This window comes from Homo sapiens, chromosome 2 (assembly GCF_000001405.40).
Source record: "Homo sapiens chromosome 2, GRCh38.p14 Primary Assembly".
Taxonomy (NCBI): domain Eukaryota; kingdom Metazoa; phylum Chordata; class Mammalia; order Primates; family Hominidae; genus Homo; species Homo sapiens.
The window spans coordinates 67521351-67546729 of NC_000002.12; the positions used below are offsets into that span (position 1 = coordinate 67521351).

Consider the following 25379-nt stretch of genomic DNA (forward strand, 5'->3'; position numbering starts at 1 on the left):
CTTCCCCTTTCTCATGGCCAAGATGGAAGACATAAAAAGCAATTTTTCTTGATATGTGATCAAACGATGGATTAAGACTTGCAAGGAGCCGGTGATCAATTGTCTGATAATATGTGACAGAACTTGTCAGATTGACGAAAATGTACCCCAACCCAAAGGGAGAGAAGGCTCTGAGCTGTGAAGGTGCTTTCTTAAGCAATTGCCTGAGATGCAGAGGCCCTGTGATATCAATTATCTTCTGTATCAACACCAAACAGGATTTTTTTTTTTTCTGCAGAAGCTGCCATCATGGTTTGATGTGTGTAAGTTAATTCTAATTAGATGCATTTCAGTAATCACTTAACTTTAATTGGTTTTGTATCTTATTTTTCAAAGGAAGAAGGCATAGACTTGTCCTAATACTTTACCAAAGTAATGTTCCGCAAGACATGAAATGAATTCCCCTCCATTCTTCCCCACATTCTGACAACATGCCAATAAAAATAGTATTAGGTGATTAAAGAATTTTTATTTAAGGCAGACATAATGATAAATGGTAATAAACTCAAACAGCCGGCGGGCTTCTTGGTGGATTAACCACCTGATGGCCTGCCTCAAGATCCAGCCTTGGCTTAGTTGGCAGGATCCACACTTAGCATTACAGCCTCTTCTGGGGAGAGGGAAGAGAGGGAGAGTGAATGATGCCAAGACATCCATATTGTTTCCACCTTTCTCAGCAGTTTCAAGCTGCCAAATGAACATCCACTCATCTCTGACTGGTTCCAACTTAAGAAAAGAAGGGGGAAGAATACATTTCAAAATCGCATGGACTTATTTTGGGAGCTCAGAGAAACTGTAAGCCAGGTTTAGATTTATTTATTTATTTATTTTTTACTTAGCCCCAAGGTTGGGGAGAAAAGCCTTATTTTTACACAAGGCCAAAGAAACAACTGAAACAGGTTTTAAATTTCTTCCTAATGCAAAGGAGGAGGAATCTGCCTACTCAGCATTTTCTTCCAGTTTTCCTGTAAAGGAGGACACTGTGCTGAAGCAATTATTTCTGTATAAACAAGCTGTCTGCCCATTTGGGAGACATTTTCATTTGGTGTTTGAGATGCAATCTCAGAGAAGATAAGGCTGAGTTTTTATATGTGTAGAGAGAAAAGTTGGGGGAAGGGAAGGTATATAGTAGATGGTCAGATTGGGGGGTTATAGCTTAAAACCCAACTCTATTGGTCAATGGAGTTATAATCTTAAATAGATAAACACATCTCATGGTATCTGAAAAATCTTTTATTCATCCATTCATCGAATGTCTGTAGACATACATTATCATACGGGTTTTTGGGTTTTGGTTTTTAGTGCTTACTGTGTGCTAGAACCATGGCTGTGGGGATTCAGGGATGACCAAGGCAGAGTCCCCGACCTACTCCATGGAGCTTGAAATGAAGGTCCCCTGACAATGATCTAGCCTAAGTGTTTGTCAAACTGAATTCCAGGAAGCTAACTTGTGGTCTTTAAATGGCTGGGATAGTGGAAGAAAGCTAAGCAGACATGCTCTAGCCCATCTCTAGCACCCATCCTCGGCTTTAACCCAGGGCTTGCACTTTGGTTATTTTATATATTAGGATTCCCTATGAGATTTGTTTAGGGGGTGAAAAAAAGGGTTATTCATCCAGCATTCAGTCCTTTTATTTTAAGTAAGGAAAATTAGATTCTTGAGCCTCAGAAGCACTCGTGACATCTTTGGTGACAGTTTGGAGCATCCTGCCGGTCTGCTATCAGGTCGTCATGACAGATTACCCAGAAGGTCAGTGGCTGCCTCCCCTCTACCATGTGCTGCCCAGGATGGCAGGAGCTTTTCCATCTGTAGAGAAACAAAGGCTTGTGGGTAGGTGCTGCTTAGCACAAGATTCCTCCAGACAGAAGGGGAAGCTGCATGCTTGCTGTGTTTGCTGTCTGGAGCTTCAGGGATGGCTTGCCAGTTTACTTCTGTTTCTCACCTGAGGTTTTTGGTATATAAGACGGTATCTTGTCTCTGATCATCAGAAATGTTTGGGAGGTCTTGTGTGGACTCTGATAGCATTTGTTGACATCATGAAGGGAGTAGACTGTTATTACCATGAAAGGCTATTAGTTTTTCTCAATTTATCCAAATGTTTCTTGGAGCAGAATATGAAACTTACGGGATTCCAATAATGATCAGGGCCAATATGAGTCACCAAAATTATAGCAAAAGCTGATTCAGTACACTGAGGAAGAGAGGCCAAGGTCTAAGAACAGGAGATAAGGTAAAAAAAAAAAAAAAATCAGAGTGTTGTTTGATGATACGCTGACATCCTGGGTCACAGAGCACAGAAGAGTTTTGAGACACAAGCAAGGCAAAATCCCTTCAGGGATGCTAAGGGCAGTTTCCTTTCCCTTTGTGGTGGAGGGTGGGCATGAAGTTGTTGATGATTGGGAACTTTACAGTTGGATAGTGGGAAGTCTTGATTTATCTGGTTTGAGAACAGAAATCACCATGAGCCTTGGGCAGTCTCTATAGCCAAATGTGAGCCTCCACATCAGCCAGGGCAGCTGGGCCCTTTCATCACCTCCCCGCAACCACTGACCCCACGCTACCCCCCACTTCCCTGCTCCCCTGCACCCTTGCAGGAAGTTCTAGCCCCCTCATGCATGTATCACATCTGGGGTACTAGAACCTGGGGGAAAGAGACATGTATGTGAACAGCTTTTTAAATAGAAAATAATGGCAAAGGATGAGAACCTGAGAAGCTGATCAGATGGAGAGAAGTAAGCATTTGTCAGCATTTTAATACAAATGGCCATGGAAAAGATAGGGAACTTGGTATTGAGCGTTTGCCATCTTCCTGAGAGAGGTTAAATGGATTTGATTTACACTTCTCAGACAGCCTAATTGCAACTTTGCAGTAGGCAAGATCAAGTAAAATTCTGAGTAACAGAAAAGAGGATCTGATTTGCAATTCAGTCACTCTCTGGTGAGCTAATATGGGAAAATCACACAAGGTCAGAGGTGAGCTCCTTTCCTGGCCTCAGGGAGAATATAACTGAAGTGGAAAAGAGAGGGAATAGGTAATTGTCTTTAATCAGGAAGAGGCATGTTTCAGTGTTTATAAACAAGGATGAAGAACGCCACATCCAGACACTGATATTCCGTGCCAGGAGTGAAGAGCTGGGAGGTTCACAGATGTATGTGCTTTGAAACAAAGTTCTTTCCACTTCTGCAACAGGAAGTGGCCTAGTTGGAGATTTCCAGAGAAAGCTCATCAGGTGCCCGGTAATTTCAATGTAAGACACATACTTAGGGATCCTAGCCAGTTGATTCAATGTCGTTTCACAAACAAACTATACAGACCTTGAGTGATAAGTTAACACATTCAAAATGGGTGGCAGAACAATGACAAGAACCCCTACCTCATGATGTTCCCTCTTGTGGTTCCTTTTTCTTCATGGAATTGCCTCAGTTGAATTCAGGAAGTATTTTACTGACTCTCTTACATATGCTAACTCTGATTTGGGCAGATATAATATCTGCTCCTAGGAAGCTGTATACCTCATTGGGGAGAAAGGACACATACTGCTATTAGAACTAGATTGCCTTGCACAGTGATTCATGAGCCAAGATTAGTGTCAACAATTAATTCCATAATAGTACAGTCACTAATATTTGATCTTCACAATAGCTACATAAGTCAATGAGCCTGACTTGATAAAAACTGAAGCCTAGGTTAAGTGGCTTGCTTATGATCCAATAGTAGTATGGTACAGAAATGGAATTTAAAGTTGGGACTTCTGATTTAAAACTGGAGTCTTTTCCCACTATGTATTTTGCTAACTTTCAAAGTTGTAGAACTCCTTTTTTTTTTTTAATAAGAGGCATAATGAGAAGCACCAAACATAATCATCTCTGGCTTTAGCTATTGCCATAAAATTAATAATGTAAAATAATTATTTTTAAGCATTTGAATTCAACAAAACCACCATATGAGGAATGAAATATCTGAAAAAAATTGCTGGTTTCACTGACTTGTGCATTCTTTGACAAGTGTCAAAATATCACAGAGATGGAGCCATGATTTTGCTGAATTCCTGTGAAATAAGAATAATCTGAGAGCTGATTGGAAACCAGTATTAAACCACAACATCATTGCAGAATTCATGGAAAACAAGTCACAAATAGCAAATGTTCATTCACAGCAATTTCTTTTCTTTTCTTTTCTTTCTTTCTTTTTTGTTTCTTTTTTTGGTTACTAGGTATGTTTTGTAAAACAGCGAGGGATCACTGTATAAAAGAAAGAGAGGTGCTACAAAAATGGGCACCATTTACAAAAACAATAACGAAGGAAAGAAGCATATTAAACCACAGCTTTGCATCTTCAAAACTGTAATATTAAAAGCCATGCACAATTATCTACAACACAAACCTTGGGCTGAAACCTAACCCCACATGCTTAAAAATACAGGGATGATTAGAAATATATTCTTATTACAAATAATACCATGAGATTTTGGATTTTAAAAATTAGGACCAAATGTCTAAATATGCAGTACATATCATGACAAAAAGAGTAGTTGCATATACAAATAAAAACCTTAATCATTTAAAAATTTATTACTTTTTAATTTGTTTTCTAAAATTACCCAAGAGATTTTCTCAGTGAGAACAAAACATATGGTTGAATCATAGCATCTAACCACTAATTTATTATTGTTTTTAGTTGTGGGTTGTTGGATTATGTTTTGGCCTCCTGAAAAGCCAAAATCAGTTGAAAAGCACTGCAAAAATACTACACTGGGGCCTGAAACCGAGCATGAAAAATATTGGCTTGTAGAATGTGATTATGAATCACTAAAAATGATATTGAAAATCCACATGAAATATTCACTCTAGAAACAAATGGGAGATATGAAATGCATGAGCTGGAAGAGCATAAATAGTGCCACAATTATTTGAGCAGAGAGAAAGAGCAAGAGTAGAAAATAACTACAGCTTCTGGCTCATGGTACAGAATGAAATGAAGTCCTCATAGTTAGAGAATCCAAGAATCATATTTATGTGCTCTGGGGTTTACCAACTGGAACACTTGAGCTACACTGGATTTTCCCTCAGACTAGATTCCAGCTTCCAACTTGCATTTTCATAGAAATAATTACACAAACAGGATATATTACGCAATTCTTTTGACGTGGGCCATACTGTTGCCAACATTTTAAAGTGGTTCAGTTAAAATAGTTACGTCCTCGATAGACATCCCTGATTATCATGTCATTCTTCAGCCCATCTCTAGGATGGTTCTCCAGAATTTATTTGACATCTCCTTGGTAAACATGTTGTGAAGGAGTCTGCTAAAAACTTTATTTAATAGTCTAAAACTCTGAAGTTTAATGACTTGGTTTTTAAGCATTGTCAAAATGAACCCAAGTCCAAATGGTGGCATCAAATGTGTAGGTCAAAAGGTTTTAAACTTTTTAGGAGTATAAAAGCTAAACGCTACCTAACAAAATATGTGAAAGATCTGTATGGGGAAAACTATAAAACTCTGATGGAAGACATCAAAGAAGAACCAAATAATAGAAAGATATGCCACACTCCTGAATTGTCAAGATGTCAGTTCTTCCCAACTTTATCTGTAGATTCAATGCATTTGTAATAAAAATTTCAGCAAATAATTATTATTGATTCTAAAGTTTATAGGGAGAGGCAAAAGACCCAGACACACAACACTGAAGGAAAGGAACAAAGTTGGACTGACATTATTAGGTATAGTAATTGAGACAGTGTAGTTTTGATGAACAAACAGACAAATAGGTCAGTGGAACTGATGAATAACCCAGAAATACACATACATAAGTAGATTCAACTGATCTCTGACAAAGGAGCAAAGGCAAAACCATGGAGCAAAAATAGTCTTTTCAACAAATGGTGTTGGAACATGGAGACTGGACATCTACATGTAAAAAAAAAAAAAATGAACCTAGAAACATATTTTACACCATTCACAAAAATTAACTCAAACTGGATCACAGACCTAAATGTAAAATTCAAAACTATAAAACTCCTAGAAGGTAACACAGGAGGAAACCTGACTGACTTTGGGTATGGCAGTGACTTTTTAGCTACAACAACAACAAAAGTACAAAACCCATGAAAGAAATAATTGATAAGTTGGATTTAATTAAAATTTAAAACATTTGCTCATCAAATGACAATACAAAGAGGATGAGAAGATAAGCACAGACTTGGAGAAACTATTTGCAAAAGATACATTTCATAAATGACTGTTATCCAAAATTACAAAGAAGTCTTAAAACTCAGCAATAAAACAACCTGCTTAGCAAATGGGCCAAATACCTTAACAGACACCTCACCAAAGAAGATATACAAATGTCAAATAAGCATATGAAAAAATTCTCCCTATGATATATCACCAGGCAATTGCAAAATAAAAGTAAGATACCACTAGACACCTATTAGAACGGCCAAAATCTGGAACACTGACAACACCAAATGCTGGCAAGGATGTGGAGCAACAGGAACTTTCATTCATTGCTTATTAAAATGCAACGTGGTCCAGTCACTGGGGAAGACAGTGTGGCAATTTCTTTCAAAACTAAAGACACTCTTACCATACAATCCATAAAGTATACTCCTTGGTATCTACCCAATTAAATTGAAAACTTATATTTACATAAAAACCTGCAAACAGATGCTTATAGCAGGTTTATTCATAATTGTCAAAACACGGAAGCAACCAAAAGGTCTTTCAGTAAGCCAATGCATGAAAAAAACTGTATTATATCCAGACAATAGAATATTTATTATCATTATTCACTACTAGAAAAAAAAATAAGCTATCAAGCCATAAAAAGACAGGGAAGAAACTTGAATTCATATTACTAAGTGAAAGAAGCCAAGGAAAAGGTTACATACTATATTATTCAAACTATCTGACATTCTGAAAAAGGCAAAACTATGGAGACAGTACAAGGGTCAATGATTGCCAGAGATTAAGGAGGAAGGGATGAATAGGTAGAGCATAGAGGATTTTTAGGGCAGTGAAACCGGTACAAGACTGGCGGGACTTGTTTTCTGTCACTACCCTGCTAACAAAAACAGGATCTAGTCCAGACACGATAAAGCAAAGAAACTGGAGGAAATGAGCAGATACTGACAAAAGAGATCCCTAGCTACCTCATTGCTCATTAGCATAAGACACTCCCACCAGCATCATGGCAATGAGCTGAAACTTACTGCTCATTTTTGTGGCAACGACCTAGAAGTTACCGCCCCTTTCCTAGAAAGTTCTAAGTAACCTTTGCCCTCAATTTGCATTAACCTGCACCTTAATTTGCATATAATTGGAAATGGGTTTGAGTGAGTACAAATACAATTGCTGGTCAGCTCGGTGGCTCACGCCTGTAATCCGAGCACTTTGGGAGGCCAAGCCGGCTGGATCATGAGGTCAGGAGTTCGAGACCACCCTGGCTAACATGCTGAAACCCCGTCTCTACTAAAAATACAAAAAGTTAGCCAGGTGTGGTGGCAGGCACCTGTAGTCCCAGCTACTTGGGAGGCTGAGACAGGAGAATGGCATGAACCCAGGAGGCGGAGCTTGCAGTGAGCCGAGATCGCACCACTGCACTCCAGCCTGGGTGACAGAGCAAGACTCCATCTCAAACACAAACAAAGAAAAAAACACTACTACTGTCTATGGTCTTGCAATGATGGATACATGCCATTATACATTTGTCCAAAGCAGTAGAATGTACAACATCACAAGTGAAATCTAACATAAACTATGGAATTTGGGTGATAATGATGTGTCAATGTAGGTTTATTGATTGGAACATGTACCACTGTGGTGCAGGATGTCTATAATGGGGGAGGTTGTGTATGTATGGGAACAAGGGAGTATTAATCTGTTCTCATGCTGCTAATAAAGACATACCCAAGACTGGGTAACATGGTGAAACCCCATTTCTACTAAAAATACAAAAAAATTAGCCAGGCATAGTGGCAGGTGCCTGTAATCCCACCTACTCAGGAGGCTGAGGCAGAAGAATCGCTTGAATCTGGGAAGCAGAAGTTGCGGTGAACCAAGATCATGCCACTGCACTCCAGCCTGGGCAACAGAGCAAGACTCCATCTCAAAAAAAAAAAAAAAAAAAAAAAAGAAATAGAGGTTTAATGGACTCACAGTTCCACATGGCTGGGGAAGTCATAATCATGGCGGAAGGCAAAGGAGGAGCAAAGTCATGTCTTACATGGTGACAGGCAAGAGGGTATGTCCAGGAGAACTCCCCTTTATAAAACCATCAGATCTCATGAGACTTATTCACTATCACAAGAACAGCACAGGAAAGCCCTGCCACCATGTTTCAATTACCTCCCACTGGGTCCCTCCCACAACACATGGGGATTATTACAATTCAAGGTGATATCTGGGTGGGAACACAGAGCCAACTATATCAGAAGGTATGTGGAGACTCTCTTTACTTCCTGCTCAATGTTGCTGTGAACCTAAAACTGCTTTAAAAAATAAAGTTTATCAATTTTTTTAAAAAGCCAAGTGCTTGCATGGTTGGGAGATGGGAAGTGGGGAGTGGTATGGCCAAAAGAAAATAGGAGAAAACCCCATCCAACATGCTTTTTATACAATTAGCAAAGGTCACCAAAAAACTGTAAAATATTTACTTGGCAGCACAGGAATTTTGTCTTTTTGATTATAGGGAAACATATACTTTTAAAATGTATATAATGTAAATACAACTTAATGTTTTCAAAGTATGATTTACAAATCCCTGAAACACTTTCAGGGGTCCCATGAGGTCAAACTATTTTCATAATAATACTAAGACATTTGCCGTTTTTACTGTGTTGACATTTGCACTGATGCAAAAACAATGGTGAGTAAAAACCCTGGAGTCTGAACCAAGGCAATAGCACCAAACTCTGCTAGTATTCACTGTATTTCTCCTCACCATGCACTCACAGATAAAAGAATGCCAGCTTCACTTTACAAATGCTTTAATGAGTCTGTAAATATTACTGACTTTATTAAATCTTAACTCAAGTACGTGCAACAAAATGACATGTATGCACAAAGAACTTCTGTTGCACAAAGAAGTATGATGGTTGCCTTGAGGTGAAACACTTGTATGTTTTGTGTTGTGAGCTGAAGTAGCTGCTTTGTTCTTGAACCATTATTTGTGCTTGGAAGAATGACTGACAGACAAACTAAGATTATTCAGCCTTGGGTATCTAGCAGATATTTTCTCAAAAATGAATGAAGAGAGCCTGACACTGCAAGGAAAACAATTGATAGCATTTGTCGCCCATTGTAAAATTTGTGCTTTAAAGCAAATAATTAGAATTTTGGAAAATATGTATTCACCATTATGTGCTTGACAGTTCCCAATATTTAAAGACTTTTTTCTAATTACATCAGTGGTGATTTTCTCACATGTGATTTTTTGATATTCTAGAATGAAATATGTCAACATTGAAAGATTTGCATAATTCAGAGAATCACTATTTTCCAATGTAACATCATGGGTGAGTAAAAGATCCATTCAAAGTTCAAGAAGACCAATGGATTTTAATGTAACAGGGTATTAAAAATCCACTTATGTAGTTTTAGATGCCACATTGCAACTAACCTTTAAGAAACTAGCACTTGTCAAATTTGGGTATACGATCAAAGAACATACATAATTAATTTGTTTTAACCATTGAACTATTTCCCCATTTTCCAATTGCATAGGATTTGAAGCTAGATTTTCTTCATTATTCTTCAACCAAATGGCATAATTCTATAGGCTGAAGAGAAGGATAGAGCAGATATAAGAACCTAGCTGTTTTCTATTAACCTAGACATTAAAGACATTTGAAAAAATGCAAAACAATGTCACTCTTACTGAATTTTTTGTTTTTTGTTTTTTTAAATACTTATTTTCATAAATATAAGTTATTTATCAGGTAGTGGGTTTATTATTGTAATTTTCAAACAAATAAACATCAATATTTAAAAGATTGCTCAGTTTTAATTTTGAATACAGTAATTATCATTTGATGTAACTCCTATAAACAAATGTCTTTTGGAGTCTGAAATATTCTTTAAGAGTGTAAAGGGTTCCTGAGACTAAAAAGTCAAGAACTGATCATTTTAAGACGTAATAAAACAGATGTCACGTAAGTAACACAAGTTAAAGAATAAAATAAGACTAGTATCTTTGAAGACATTGAATGTCTTTCCCAGAGGATAGCTTCTTCCCTTCTCCCAGGAATGAGCATAGTATATTAATCTTATATTAACTATTATCTTGCTTTCTTTCATAGTTTTATCTCACATGCATATCTATCTACACAATATTTAATTTGCCTGTTTTTGAATTGCATGCGAATAGGGCCATACTGTATGCCGTAGTTTGAGTTTCCCTGAAAATAGTGCCTGAGAAAAAGATTTGGGTGCAGGTAGTGTATTTTGGAGGTGATCCCAGGAAGGAGAGGTGTAGGGGTGGGGTAGAGACTAGAGAAGGAAGAATGTAAAATAAAAATACATTGTTAAGCTCGTTGCCAATGTGGGCAACTCAGACACAGTCCTGTTGGGTACTCTCTATACAACTGTGTAAAATGCATTTCAGAATTGGCCCTCCAGACCAAAGGAAAGGAGACTGGGCATTTATTCACTGACATTATCTCCGTTTGGCAGAGAGTTGCTCTTAGGGGCTTAACTCCCCTGCAGGCTCAAGCTGAGTGGCTTCTCATGGCTCCAAGAAAGGCCTAAGGCAGAAAAGCAGAGGCCCCTCATTGTGACCTTGAGGTGGGACACAGGCCACTGCATGGAACTGTCCACCTGAACCCAGGTGAACTAAAGGTGTGGAGTAAGGGGCACCACAAGAGTCAACTATATTATATATTTTCTTTTATGACTTCCTTCTGTCCCACCAGAAGGTGTTTTTGAGCTATTTCTGGTTGATATGAATAGTTTTAGCTAATTTATTTCTGCTGATGCATAGTATTCCATTGCCTGACTGTTCCACAACTTAATTTCCATTTCATTGTTGATGGACATTTGGTTTATTTCTAGACATGGGACATTCATTTTGCTTCCAAAGGAAAACAAAAAGCCAAATATTTCCATGTCCTTATATTCCATCTAAAAAATGCATAATCAGCAGAAACAAAGTCTCCACTTCACTTCTGCATTTCAAAGTTTGCATAAATATGACTAGCCAAACTAAGTCACATTCTGACTGCAACGGATTCTGGAAAATGTAAGCTTTAGCTTTTTAGCCTCTGCAACATAAGGAAGCACTCTAAAAAAAAGCACCATACACAACACACCAGGCAACTAGGCAACAGCTATGAAAATTAAAAATACACATACTCTTAGATCCTGCAATTTTACTCTGGCAGTCTATTTCATAGAAATAAATGTACTAATATAAAAGAGCATATGTACAATGGTATTTATCACAAATCTGCAGTGGATTGAAAGTAAACATTCTATAATAAGAGAATGTCTAAATATATTGAAATATAGCCACATATCAGAATATTGTATATCAAAAGAATGAGCTAGAGCAATACCAAATGACTTGGAGTGATTCCGCAATGCATTATTGAGTGAGAAAAGCAAGACACAGAAAAGTATGTGTTACATAATCTTATTTTTAAAAAATAGAACAGTGACCAACGAAAGTTATATAGGTATAAAATATATAATATATAAATTTCTATAAATATAGAATCTATCTATATGATTATATAAATATATAATTATATATGAGATTATATAAATTATACATATGAGATTATATAAATATAGGAGCTGTATGTAAGGCCAGAAGAGCACCCACTAGGCTGTTAGCAGGGCTTATAGTTAATAAGATAGAATGGTGGTATTAAACTTACATGGGCTAGAGAAGGGTAGGGAAAAGAAATAGATAGATGGGAAGATGGATGGATGGATGGATGAATGGATGGATAGATAGATACATAGATGATAGATAGATAGATAGATAGATACATACATACATACATACATACATACATACATACATAGGTAGATAGATAGATAGATAGATACATAGATAGATGCAAGAATGGTCCCTGCCATGTGATTATTTTAGAAGGCTAGGATTTTAAGCAACATTTACTTTCTTTATATTTGTATGGGTACTATTAAACTGTTTGTATTGCATGTATATTGTTTATTAATCAATACAAAACCATAAATCCATTTTTAGTGTGAAAAAATTCCTTCTGTCTAATGGGGGAAAGTAGAGTTTACTGAGGAAAGTAGAGTGGTAAAGATGATTATTGTTGTATATCACCTACTTCTGTACTAATAGATTTGATACCATGTATTTATATCTATGACTTCAATAAATTATTAAAGAAATTTTAAAAACTTTATACACAGCAAACAAAGAAATATCCTTATTCAGGCTAAGGCTGATTCTTGCATCTGAGCTCCGGAGCACACCAAATTCTACCTCCTTACTCCATTTATTAAGCCGTCTTTACCACAGTATCAATCTTTCTTTACTGCTGGCTCCTCTGAAGGTTAAAAACATGCTCATCTATCTTCCACCTTAGAAAACCCTCCCTTAATGTTATTGACTCTTCTAGCTACTGTACCACCTCACAGCTCCACTTTGTAGCTGTACTTGAAATAGGTGCTTACATTCACGGCCTCACATCTCATATACCCTTCAACTCACTGCATTATAGCTTTTGCCCTAACACATGCTTCCATGAAACTCCTCTCACCAGGATAACTATGGCCATCTAATTGCCAGTTCCTGTCATTCTGATGTCTGAGGAACACTTGACCCTCTGAACAACCAACTCCTTAAAGCCCTTCCACCTGCTGGCTTAAGCAACATTCTTCTGTCCCTAGTCTCTTGCTGATTTCTCTGTGTGAATTTTCTCTGGGCCACCCGTTAGCCCTTCATTTGCCTTTTTCCAGAATGATGGCGTCGCTCGGGGTCCCACTTCCTTTCATTCACATTCCATTCACTTTCCCTGGAGATGACATTCATGCTCATGGCTCTGGCAGGGATGAGTCAAATCTGTATTTATATCATGAATATCTTTCCAAAGTTCCTCATCCTTATTTCAAACAGCCTCCTAGAAATCTCCTAGATGTCTCACTTGTTCACCAAACTATACATATAGAGAACAGAATGTATTGCCTTCCCCTCAAAATTTGCCCATACTGATCATCAGTCTTTGTTCTCCATCTTGTCAAATGTTGTCACCATCCACCACCTTGTAAGAGACAACTTGAACAATAGAGACTGTATATAACCTTGATTCTTACCATATCTAATAACAAGGTTCTTTTGATTCTAATTCCTAAATATCTCTCAAACCCTTCCATTATCTCCTGGCCTCTATGCTTGCCTTTGTTCAGCCTATCACTACTTATTTGAACTCTTGCAATCTCTTATCTCTAACGGTGCCACCTTCAAACCATCTTTCAGGTTGCTAGCAGTGTGAACTTGCTAAAATGCAAACTGGAATAGATCACCCCTATGATTAAAATTCTTGAATAACCTTGCATGGCCCACATGACCTAGTGTAAACTACTTAGAATGACATGCAGGACTTGCCCCACCTTCCTCTCTAAAATAATCTCTTAGCATTTATCCACATGTGAGCAACCTGCTCTTCCACACACTCAATTATATCAATTTCTCAAGTCCAGCTACAAAAACCATACTATTTTGGAGGGAAGGCATCTTTTACCTTGCACTTACTTCTCTGAAACAATGTAGCATATGCATAATTCCATGTTTCCAACTGCTTCTCCACTAGATTGTGAGTGCCTCAAGGGGAGGTGTATTCTATTCCCACACATAGCAGTGCTGGGTATTTGCTACATATTGGTAGCTACATATTGAAAGGTATTGCTACATATTGAATGATCTCAAATTTGCATGTACTAACACTGAATATCAATAGGAGGAAGTTACATCAATAGAAGAAAGTGATTTTTTTTTGGTTTCAAAACAAGAAATGAAACCACGGGAATTAAAACCTTACTCTTGTCTAAAATCCATGTTTGGTGCTCTTCTCACTATACTCCATGTCCTTCCATGTTAGTTATATAAACTTAAGCAAGGTACTCCCATCTTAGACCTCATTTTTTCTCATCAATGGGAAAAGTTATTTCTAATAAATAATTTAGCTCTGATATTTGGATTAGCATAGTGGTGAGTTCAAATCTTCAATCTATCAATGGGGCAAGTTTTTAAAATTCTCTGTCTTAGTTTCCTTATCTGTAAAATGGGGATAACAATAGTAACTTAATTCATAGGGTTCATATGAAGATTAAATTGGAAATAATATGAAGGGCTCAGAAGAGTTCCTGGCTAAGATAAGCATTTAATTATAGTTAGCCATTATTATATTCTCTATAAGTAGGAAGCCAACACACTTGACCCCTTCTATAACAGAAGTGGATGGCCAAAGTTCAGCTAACTGGTTTTTTTAAAAGGAATAGCTTAGGAAATGATTTTTAGATGGCCAATAAAGATCATTGTTCTTAGCTTGTGATTAGCTTTCTGAATGACCCATGTGTCAGTATAAGGAGGATCTCCATATCCAAAAATCATGTATTAATAATAATTGTCACAAATGACAAATACATAGCTTTGGTAGGTTTTGTCCTATTTTGAACAATTTTAAGCTCTAAATACATTGCTGATTTTTATCTCATTGTAAGCCAGTTTTGAAAGCTAAGGAGATGCATAATATTTTTTATATTACTTTGCTGAAGATGTCTACCAAATTTATTCACTTTTTATTTCAATAGCTTTAGGAGTACAAGTGGTTTTTGGTTATATGGATGAACTGTATCGTGGTGAAGTCTGGACATTTGGTATAGTCAACACCCAAATAGTGTATTTTATACCCAATAGATAATTTTTTATCCCTCATCTCCTACCACTTTTCCCCTTTCTGAGTCTTCAGTGTCCACTATACCACTATGTATGCCTTTGTGTACCCATAGTTTAGCTCCCACTTATAAGTGAGAACATGAGATACTTGATTTTCTATTCCTGAGTTACTTCACGTAGAAGAATAGCCTCCAATTCCATCCAAGTTGCTGCAAAAGACACTCTTTTGTTCTTTTCTATGGCTGAGTAGTATTTCAGTAGTATTTCATACACACACACACCACGGAATATTCTCTATCTATCTATACCACATTCTCTTTATCCACTCATTGGTTGACGGGTGCTTAGGTTGATTCCATATTATATGGTTTGGTTCTGCATCCCCATCAAATCTCATGTCAAATTGTAATCCCCAGTATTGGAGGTGGGGCCTGGTAGGAGGTGTTGGAGGTGGGGCCTGATAAGAGGTGATGGTCCTCCTACCATGGGGGTGGTCCTTTATGAATGGTTTAGCACCATCCCCTGTTCCGTTCTCGTGACAGTGAGTGAGCGAGTTATCATGAGATCTGGTTGCTTGAAAGTGTATAGCACCTCTGCACCCTCTCTCTTCCTCCTGCTCTGGCTGTGTGAGGTGCTCATTCTCCCTTTCCCTTCTGCCATGATTGTAAGTTTCCTTAGTCCTCCCCAGAAGTAGAGCAGATGCTGCCATGCTTCCTGTACAGCCTGCAGAACTGTGAGCCAATCTTTCCTTTATAAATTATCCAGTCTCAGGTATACAGCAATGCAAGAACTGACTAATACACCATGTCTTTGCAATTGCGAATTGTGCTACAATAAACACATGAGTGCAGATGTCTTTTTGATATAACGGCTTATTTTCCTTTGGGTAGATACCTAGCAGTGGGATTGCTGAATCAAATGGTAGATCTACTTTTAGTTCTTTGAGAAATCTCCATACTGTTTTCCACAGAGATTTTACTAATTTATATTTTCACCGATAGTTTATAAGTGTTCCCTTTTCATTACACCTATGCCAACATCTGTTGTTTTTCAACTGTTTAATAATGGCCTTTCTGAATGAGGTAAGTTGGTATCTCATTGTGGTTTTAACTTGCATTTCCCTGATGATTAGGGAGGTTGAACTTTTTAAAATATGTTTGTTGGCCATTTGTATATCTTCTTTTGAAAAATATTTGTTCATGTCATTTTCCTACTTTAATGGGATTATTTGTTTTTTTAATTATTATTTGCTGATTTGAGTTCCTTATGGATTCTGGATATTAGTCCTTTTTCAAATATATAGTTTGTAAATACTTTCTCCCATACTGTAGGCTGTCTGTTTGCTCTGTTGATTATTTCTTTCATTGTGAAGTAGTTTTTTGGTTTAGTTAAGTCCCATTTATTTATTTTTGTTTTTGTTGCATTTGATTTTGTAGTTTTGGTCATAAATTCATTGCCTAGACCAATGTTCAGAGGAATTTTTCCTAGGTTTTCTTCCAGAATTTTTAAAGTTTTAGGTCTTACATTTAAGTCTTTAATCCGTTTTGAGTTTATTTTTATATATGGTGAAAGATAGAGATTCTGTTTCATTCTTCTGCATGGGGCCACACAATTTTCCCAGCATCGTTTATGGAATAGAATGTCCTTTCCCAGGTGTATGTTTTTGTCTGTTTTGTCAAAGATCAGTTGATTGTAGGTATTTGGCTTTATTTCTGGGGTCTCTATTCTGTCCCATTGGTCTATGTACCCACTGGTACTTTTATACCAGTGCCATGCTGTTTTGTTTACTGTAGTCTTGTAATATAATTTGAAGTCAGGTAATGTGATGCCTCCAGATTTACTCCTTTTGCTTAGGATTGTTTTGGCTGTTCAGGCTCTTCTTTGGTTCCATATGAACTTTAGAGATTGTTTTATCTGTGAAAAAAGACATTGTTATTTTGAAGAGAATTGCATTAAATCTCTACACTGCTTTGGGCAGTCTGATCATTTCTACACTATTGATTCTTCCATTTCATGAGTGTGAAATGTTTTTCCATTTGTTTGTGTCATCTATGATTTATTTTCTCCATGCTTTTAACTTTTTCTTGTAGAGATCTTTCACCTTCTTGGTTAAGTAGATTCTTAGGTATTTTTTTTCAGCTATTGTAAAATGAATTAAGTTCTTGATTTGCTTATCAGCTTGATTGTTATTGGTGTATAGCAGTGCTGTTGATTTGCATACATTGATTTTGTAACCTGAGACTTTACTGAATTCATCTACCAGATCTAGGAATTTTGTTGGAGGAGTGTTTAGAGTTTTCTAGGTATCAGATTATATCATCACCAGAGATAGTTTGATTACCTCTTTGCAAATTTAGATGCCCCTAATTTCTTCCTCTTTCCCTATTGTTCTGGCTAGCACTTTCAGTGCCATGTTGAATAGAATTGTTGAAAATGAGCATCCTTTTTTTGTTCCTGTTCTGAGAAGAAATGCTTTCAACTTTTCCCCATTTAGTATGATGCTGGTTGTGGGTTTCTCATATGTGGCTTTCATTAGTTTGATGTATATTCCTTCTGTGCCTTGTTTGCTGAGAAGTTTTATCATGAAGGGATGCTAGGTTTTATCAAATGCTTTTTCTGCTTCTACTGAAATAATAATTTTTGTTTTTAATTCTGTTTATATGGTGAATCACATTTATTGACTTGTATATGTTGTACCATCCCTGAATTCCTAGGATGAAACCCACTTGATCGTGGTGAAGTATCTTTTTGATGTACTATTGGATTCAGTTTGCTAGTAATTATTGAGGATTTTTGCATTTATGTTCATTAGTGATATTGATCTGTAGTTTTTGTTATTGTTATGTCCTTTCTGGGCTTTGGTATGAGGATGATACTTGTTTCATAGAATGAGTTAGGGAGGATTCTCTCCTTCTCAATCTTTTTGAATACTTTCAGTAGGATTGGTATCAGTTATTTGAACATCAAGTAGAATTCAGCTGTGAATCTCTCCAGTCTTGAGCTTTCTGGGGGTGTGGAGGGGGAGATTTTTTTATTATGGATTCAATCTCACTACTTGTCATTGGTCTGTCCAGGATTGCTTTTCTTCCTGATTCAAGCTTGGGGGATTGTATGTTTCCAGGAATTTATTCATCTCTTCAAGATTTTCTAGTTTGTGTGCATAGAGGTATTCATAGTAGTCTTGGATGATCTTTTGTATTTTTGTGTTATCAGTGATAATGTCTTCTTTTTATTTCTGACTGAGTTTACTTGAATCCTCTCTCTCTTTTTTGGTTAATTTAGCTATTGGCCTATCAATTCTGTTTATCTTTTCAAATAATCAAATTTTGTTTCATTGAGTCTTTGTATTGTGATTTTTTGGTTTCAGTTTCATTTAGTTTTGCTCTGAGCTTTGTTATTTCTTTTCTTCTGCTAGCTTTGGGTTTGGTTTGTTCTTGTATTTTTAGTTCTGTGAGGTGTGATGTTGGGTTGTCAATTCGTGATTGTTTGGCCTTTTTGATGTAAGCATTTAGCACTATAAACTCCCCACATAGCACTCCTGCTGTGTTCCAGATATTTTGATAACTTGTGTCACTGGTTATTATTTATTTTGAAAAATTTTTTAGTTTCCATTTTGATTTCATCATTGATCCAAAGATCGTTCAGGAGCAGGTTGTTTACTTTCCATGTATTTGTAGAGTTTTGAGAGTTCCTTTTAGAATTGATTTCTAGCTTTATTGCATTGTGGTCTGAGAAGATATTTGATATAATTTCAATTTTTAAAAATTTATTACACTTGTTTTGTGGCCTATCATACAGTCTATCTCAGAAAATGTTCCATGTAATAAGAATAAGAATGTATATTCTGCAGTTTAAGGATAGAAATTTCTGTAAATGTCTGTTAGGGCCATTTGTTCTAGAGTCAAGTTTAAGTCCAGTGCTTCTTTGTAGAATTTCTTCCTCAATAATCTGTCTAGTGCTGTCAGTGGAGTATTGAAGTCCCACACTATTACTGTATTGCTGTCTACCTCTCTTTTTCGGCCTAGTATTATCTGTTCTATAAATCTGGGAGCTCCAGTGTTAGATGCAAATATATTTAGGATTGTTATATCTTTTTGTTTAATTCATCTATTTATCATTATAATTTTTAAATCTTTGTTTACTGTTGTTGATTTAAAGTCTGTTTTATATGATATAAGAATAGCTACTTATGCTTGCTTTTGGTTTCCATTTGTGTGGAATATTTTTCTCTACCCCTTTGTTTTCAGTCTATAAAAATATTTAAGAGTTAAGTGAGTCTCTTAAAGGCAGCAGATATTTGGATTGTGGATTTTGTTTTTTTGGTTCTGAGATAAGGTCTCACTTTGTTGTTCAAGCTGGAGTGCAGTAGCACAATCATAGCTCATTATAATCTCAAACTCCTGGGTTCCAGTGATCCTCCAATTCCAGCCTCCTGTGTAGCTGGGACTACAGACCCACACTACCATGCCCAGCTAGTATTTGCTTTATTTTTTGTATAAACAGGCCTTGTAATGTTGCCTAGGTTTGTCTTGGCAATAAGACCTGGCCCCAAGCAATTCTCCCACATCGGCTTCCCAAATTGTTGGGATTGCAGCCACAGTGCCTAGCCTGGATTGTGTTTTTCAATCCATTCTACCAATCTATATTTTTTCAGTTAGGCATTTAGGCTACTTACATTCAAAGTTAATACTGATATGTAAGATACTGTTCCAGTCATTATGTTGATTGTTACCTAGTTGCTTTGTATTCTCCATTGTGTTACTGTTTTTAAACCCTTTGAGTTTTACAGTTTTCAGTGTTTTCATACTGGTGAGTGTCAACCTTTCATTTCAATATTTAGAACTCCTTTTAGCATTTTTTTCTAGTGCCAGTCTAGTGGTGACAAATTCCTCCAGTGTTTGGTGATCTGGGAAAGACTATTCTTCCTTCATGTAAGAAATGCAGCCTTCAGGATACAACATTTTTGGCTGACAGTTATTCTGCTTAAGGAAACTAAAGATAAAACCACAGTCCCTTCTGGTTTATAAAGTTTTGGCCGAGAAGTCTGCTGTTAGTCAGACAGGTTTTCCTTTATAAGTTATTTGATTTTTTTCTCACTTTTCTTAGAATTCTTACCCTTCCATTGACTTTAGGTAGCCTAATGACTGTATGCCTTGGTGATGTTCTTTTTGCAATTACTATTCCAGGAATTCTTTGAGTCTTTTGTATCTGGATGTCTAAATCTCTGGCAAGACCAGGGAAGTTTTCCTCAATTATTCCTTCAAATATATCTTCCAAGTTCTTGTGTTTTTTTCTTTTTCTCTTTCAGGAATACTTTTGATTCTTAGGATTGGATGTTTCATATTATCCTATATTTCTTGGAGACTGTGTTCATTTCTTTTATTTTTTTTTTTAATTTTTGTTGGTTTGGGGGTTAATTCAAAACGCTCCTCTTGGAGCTCTAGAATTCTTTCTTCTCCTTGGTCTAGTTTAGTGGTAAAAGTTTCCACTGCATTTTATAATTATCTGAATGAGTCTTTCATTTCCAGAAGTTCTGTCTGGTCTTTTTAAGAATATACTTTCTTTAGAAAAATTTTTATTCATGTCCTTAATTTTTTTTATTTATTTATGTTGGTTTTCAACTTTCTATTGGATCTCATTAAGCAGCTTTGTAATCAATATTTTGAATTATTTATCTGGTATTTCAAAGTTTTCATTTTAGTTTGGATTATTGCTGGAGAGTTAGTGTGATACTTTGGGGGTGTTGTAAAACTCTGTTTTTTCCTATTGCTAGAATTATCTTTCTGGTCCCTTCATATCTGAATAGACTATTTCTTCATATTGTTTTCAAATTTATTTCTGATGGGACTTGAGTTTTTTTCCCCCTTGAGGTTTTGACTATAATATATGTATAGTTTATGACCACCTAGCTTTGGCTCTGAGTGCTTTCAGTGGCAAAGACTATATGAGTTCCTTGGTAACAGAGAATCTTTGTATGATGGCTTTCTCAGATGCCACTTGCAGTAGCAATGTGCTAGGTGTCTGAGCAGGTTCACTGTCTTACATGGGGCCAGGATGACAGAGGTCTCATGAAGCTCATCTCATTCCCCAGTGGTGAAGCTTCTCTCATTCCCCAGTGGTGCACACTTTTTCTTCCCCAGTAATTTTTTCACTGGGTTGAACAGTTCAGCTTTCAAGCCAATAAGAGACACTCACAGATAAGAACTACCTGTGGCTGAAGCAGGTGTGTATACGCAATACCCCAATTGGGGACAAAAGTCCCATCCATGTCGATGGTGTCCGGGGGAGCTTCTGGTGAAATGCACTGAGGTTTTTACAGTGAAAAGAAAGGGAGCCACCTCAGCTCCATTACCAGGCCAACAGAAAAGCTATCTATCTCCTCACGAAGCCCCTGACCCAGTGTTCCAGATATTCAGATCAGACAGTCACCTCTGTCCATCTATAGGAACACTGAAATTCCATGTGGAGAGACAGAGGGACTCCACCTCTCACACAAGCCTGACCCTGGAGGGTGCACCTCCCATGGGGACACAGTCACCCCAAAATGCTCCAGTAAGATTGTCTATAGTACCTGCATGGAACTCCCATGGGAGAAACCCCAGATGTTTGCAGCAGTGGGTGGGAGGAAGGAGAAGTCTCCTTCCCCAAGTCCTTTTTGGAGCACTGGGGCTGTTTGACATCTGGGAAGGAACCTCAAGTCTTCCCCCACTGAGCCCAGAACTGCCTTTGCTGAAAAAGGCACAAGCAGGAATTTCTGAGACATAAAAAAGCTTGCACTCTGGTTCCCTTTGTTCCATGCGGTGCTCTCTTGGCATGTCACACTCCCCCTTACCCTAAGTGTGGCAATTCCTGAGAGCCAGACTACTTACTGTGAAGCCCACTGCTCCTCTGGGTCCAGCCACCCTGTGGGGCTGTCACAGTCCAGGCTGTGCTGGGGAATGGTTGCAAAGGATATGGTGATGTGAAGAGACAAGGTTTGAAGGTCTCCGAGCAAAGCGAAGTCCCACAATGAGTGCACACCCAGTATTGTGCCCGCTACTACAGCCCAGGTCCAGGGGGAAAAGGAAGGATCCCAGCATGAGCTGGTAGCCCAGTGTAATGCTCTGAAGAAGTCCCCAAATTGCAGCCCACTCCAGTACTTGGGCTTATGAGGGCAAAGAATCTCTTCTTGAATTATGATAACCAGCAGTCTGCCACAAGAGTTAAAGAGGCTGAAAATACTCCCTACCCTTTTATGGAATACTAGCTTTCTCAGGGTTTGATCTCTGTCAGCTTCTTGTGTCTTTCTTTTGTGTGTGTTGTAGATTCTTCCAGTGAAATCTCTGGTAGGTTCCAGAACTTTCCCTTTAACATTCCATTTGGACTATGATTATTCACCTGTAATTTTGGCTCTTCCTTCTGAGGAGAACTGGTCACTGACATCTCTGGGCAGCCGTTTGGAGTAGCTCTCTGATGCCTCGGGCTATGGACTGGTCTGTGGGATGTGCAGTAGCTAGGGCTCTGCTCTTAGCTCCAGAGGGGGCAATGTTGGGTGGAGCTGAACCAGGATGACCTGTCCTCTGGTCTCCCAGCAGTGGGTGGAAGCACCAGCCAAGATGGGAATAGCAGGGTATTGGTGTAGACATCGTAAGATTTCCTTGGCTTTACAAAGCTTTAGTGTGATGGCTTTCTCAATTAACAGCTGTAGTAGTAATATACTGGGAACATGAATAGGCTCAAGGCCTCCTGAGTGGCTGGAATAGTGGGGGCAATGGTGTTAGCAGAGGTCATACAAAAGTTTTCTTCCTCCCATGTGCTGTGTTATTGTGCCAGCAGATGTTGTAGTGGGCTGTGCTGGTTGACCTCTGGCCAGGAAGTGGCACTTGCAGGAGAGAGACAGCTGTGATGGTGGCTGTGGGACTTGCACTTGGTCTATTTTACCTATGGGGGATATTCAGATGTCCTAGGCAATGGACTGGGCTATGAAACTCCCAAAAGTCCCTGTTTAGGTTCTGCTACCAAGGCAGATGGAGTTGCAAAGCTAGGTGGGGACTGGGTCAGACAAGTCTATGATCTGGTTCCCCAAGTGCAGACACAAGTGGCAATCCCTATGGGAGTCAGACAGCAGTTCCCTGGTTGCTGGGGTAATGTTCCAGGGAGAAGCAGAACTGCCTCTGCTGCACAAAAGACACCACACATAGAAAGAGGAGCGGCAGTTGGCAGTGAGATGCACCCAGCTCCCACGTCCTTGACAGAGCAGATTTTAAATCCATGGACTTCTGCTGGCAGAAAGCTGCCACAGCCAGCTGGGCCTTCAGCTGTCTGTGCTCAGAATGCAAAACTACCCCAAGCTTCAAGACTCCTGCTGGAGACAGAAACCAGGCCACATCCTTCTGGGTTCAGCCTAAGAAGCAGGGGCATGCAGCTCTCAGCCAGGGCAAGAGCATGCTTCCTGCTCACCTCTTGGTTCTGGCCTAGATAGCTCATCCCCACTCCTGATTAGATCACAAATATCACTTGGGATCTTCTCCCAATCTGTGACCAGCATCTGAATTAGCTGGGAGATTTCCATAGTGTCCTCTATGAGTTAGGATCATAGAGCGTCCTCTATGAGTAGGATCAGAGCCAATGGGGACAGGATCCTTCTGTCCCCATTGGGTCTGGGAGTGTATGCAAAGCACATCCTAATGCTACTTCTTCTTATATACTCCCCACCACCCACCAAATCAGCTCCAGTTCTGGGCAGGGTGAGGTGCTCTCCCATGGCCTGGACTGCCCAGCTCCCCAGTGGGAATGTGTACCACAGAGACAGCCCCTCCATCTTCCACCCTCTGGAGACTCAGAGTTTTCTACCTGACTCATGGTGCAAGTTCCCATCTGCTGCTGTTTTAAAAGTATCTGAACTTTCACTTTTTCTGTTGAGTTGCCATGTTCCTTCTTGGATAAAAGTTCACACTATGAGTCTCTACATACGATTTTCCTCTTTCTGAGCAAATGAGGCATGCTAACAAAGCACACCATCTTGGAAAAATATCTGCCATCTTGGAAAAAAAAATCTACCAACTTTAACATGAACTTTCCCCCAAAGCCCAAAATGTACTTGTATCAGTTTGTTTTTATGCTGCTAATAAAGACATACCCAAGACTGGGTAATTTATAAAGGAAAGAGGTTTAATGGACTCACAGTTCCACATAGCTTGGGAGGCCTCACAATCATGGCGGAAGGCAAAAGAGAAGCAAAGTCATGTCTTACCTGGTGGCTGGCAAGAGAGCAGGTGCATGGGAGCTCCCCTTTATAAAACTATCATATCTCATGAGACTTATTGACTATCATGAGAACAACATGGGAAAGATGCACCCTCATGATTCAATTACCTCCCACCAGGTCCCTCCCATGACATGTGGGAATTACAGGAGCTATAATTCAAGACGAGATTTGGGTGGAGAAACAGCCAAACCATGTCATTCCACCTTTGCCCCTCCAAAATCTCATGTCCTCACATTTCAAAATCAATCATGCCTTCCCAGCAGTCCCCTAAAGTGTTAACTCATTTCAGCATTAACTCAAAAGTCCACAATCCAAAGTCTCATCTGAGACAAGGCAAGTCCCTTCAGCCTATGATCCTGTAAAATCAAAAGCAAGTTAGTTACTTCCCAGATACAATGAGGGTACAGGTATTGGGTAAATATACCCATTCCAAATGGAAGAAATTGGCCAAAACAAAGGGGCTAGAGGCCCCATGCAAGTCTGAAATCCAATAGGGCAGTCATTAAACCTTAAAGTTCCAAAATGATCTCCTTTGACTCCATGTTTCACATCCAGGCAATGCTGATACATGAGCTGGGTTCCCACAGCCTTGGGCATCTCCCCTCCCTGTGGCTTTGCAGGGTACAGCTCCCCTTTTGCCTGCTTTCACAGGCTGGCATTTAGTGTCTGTGGCTTTTCCAGGCACATGATGCAAGCTGTTGGTGGATCTACCATTCTGGAGTCTGGAGGATGGTAGCTCTCTTTTCACAGCTCCACTAGGCAGTGCTCCATAGTGGACTCTGTGTGGGGGCTCCAACCCCACATTTCCCTTCCACTCTGCCCTAGCAGAGGTTCTCCATGAGGGCCCCAACCCTGTAGCAAACTTGTGCTTAGACATCCAGGCATTTCCATACATCTTCTGAAATCTAGGTGGAGGTTCCCAAACATTAATTCTTGACTTCTGTGTACACACAGGCCCAACACCATATGGAAGCTGCCAAGGCTTTGGACTTGCACCCTCTAAAATAATGGCCTGAACTGTACATTGGCCTCATTTAGCCACAGGTGGAGCTGAAACAGCTGGAATGCAGGGCACCATGTTTGTAGGCTGCATAGGGCAGAGGGGCCCTGGGCCCAGCCCACAAAACCATTTTTCCCTCCTAGGCCTCCAGATCTGTGATGGAATGGGTTGTCATGAAGGTCTCTGACATGCCCTGGAGACATGTTTCTCAAGGTCTTG

General features: G+C 38.7%; 1 long non-coding RNA gene across 2 annotated transcripts; it reads right to left on the reverse strand.

Moving 5' to 3' along the window:
• Positions 1-1254: 1254 nt before the first annotated feature.
• LOC124907804 (uncharacterized) lies at positions 1255-23387 on the reverse strand. 2 transcript variants are annotated; one of them, XR_007086623.1, is made up of 2 exons: positions 21783-23387; positions 1255-2477 (listed from the first exon to the last, which is right to left on the reverse strand). It is a non-coding gene; the product is annotated as an uncharacterized LOC124907804 (long non-coding RNA). The 2 variants fall into 2 exon arrangements; XR_007086621.1 differs by having other exon boundaries at positions 1255-3553.
• Between the last annotated feature and the right edge of the window lie 1992 nt (positions 23388-25379).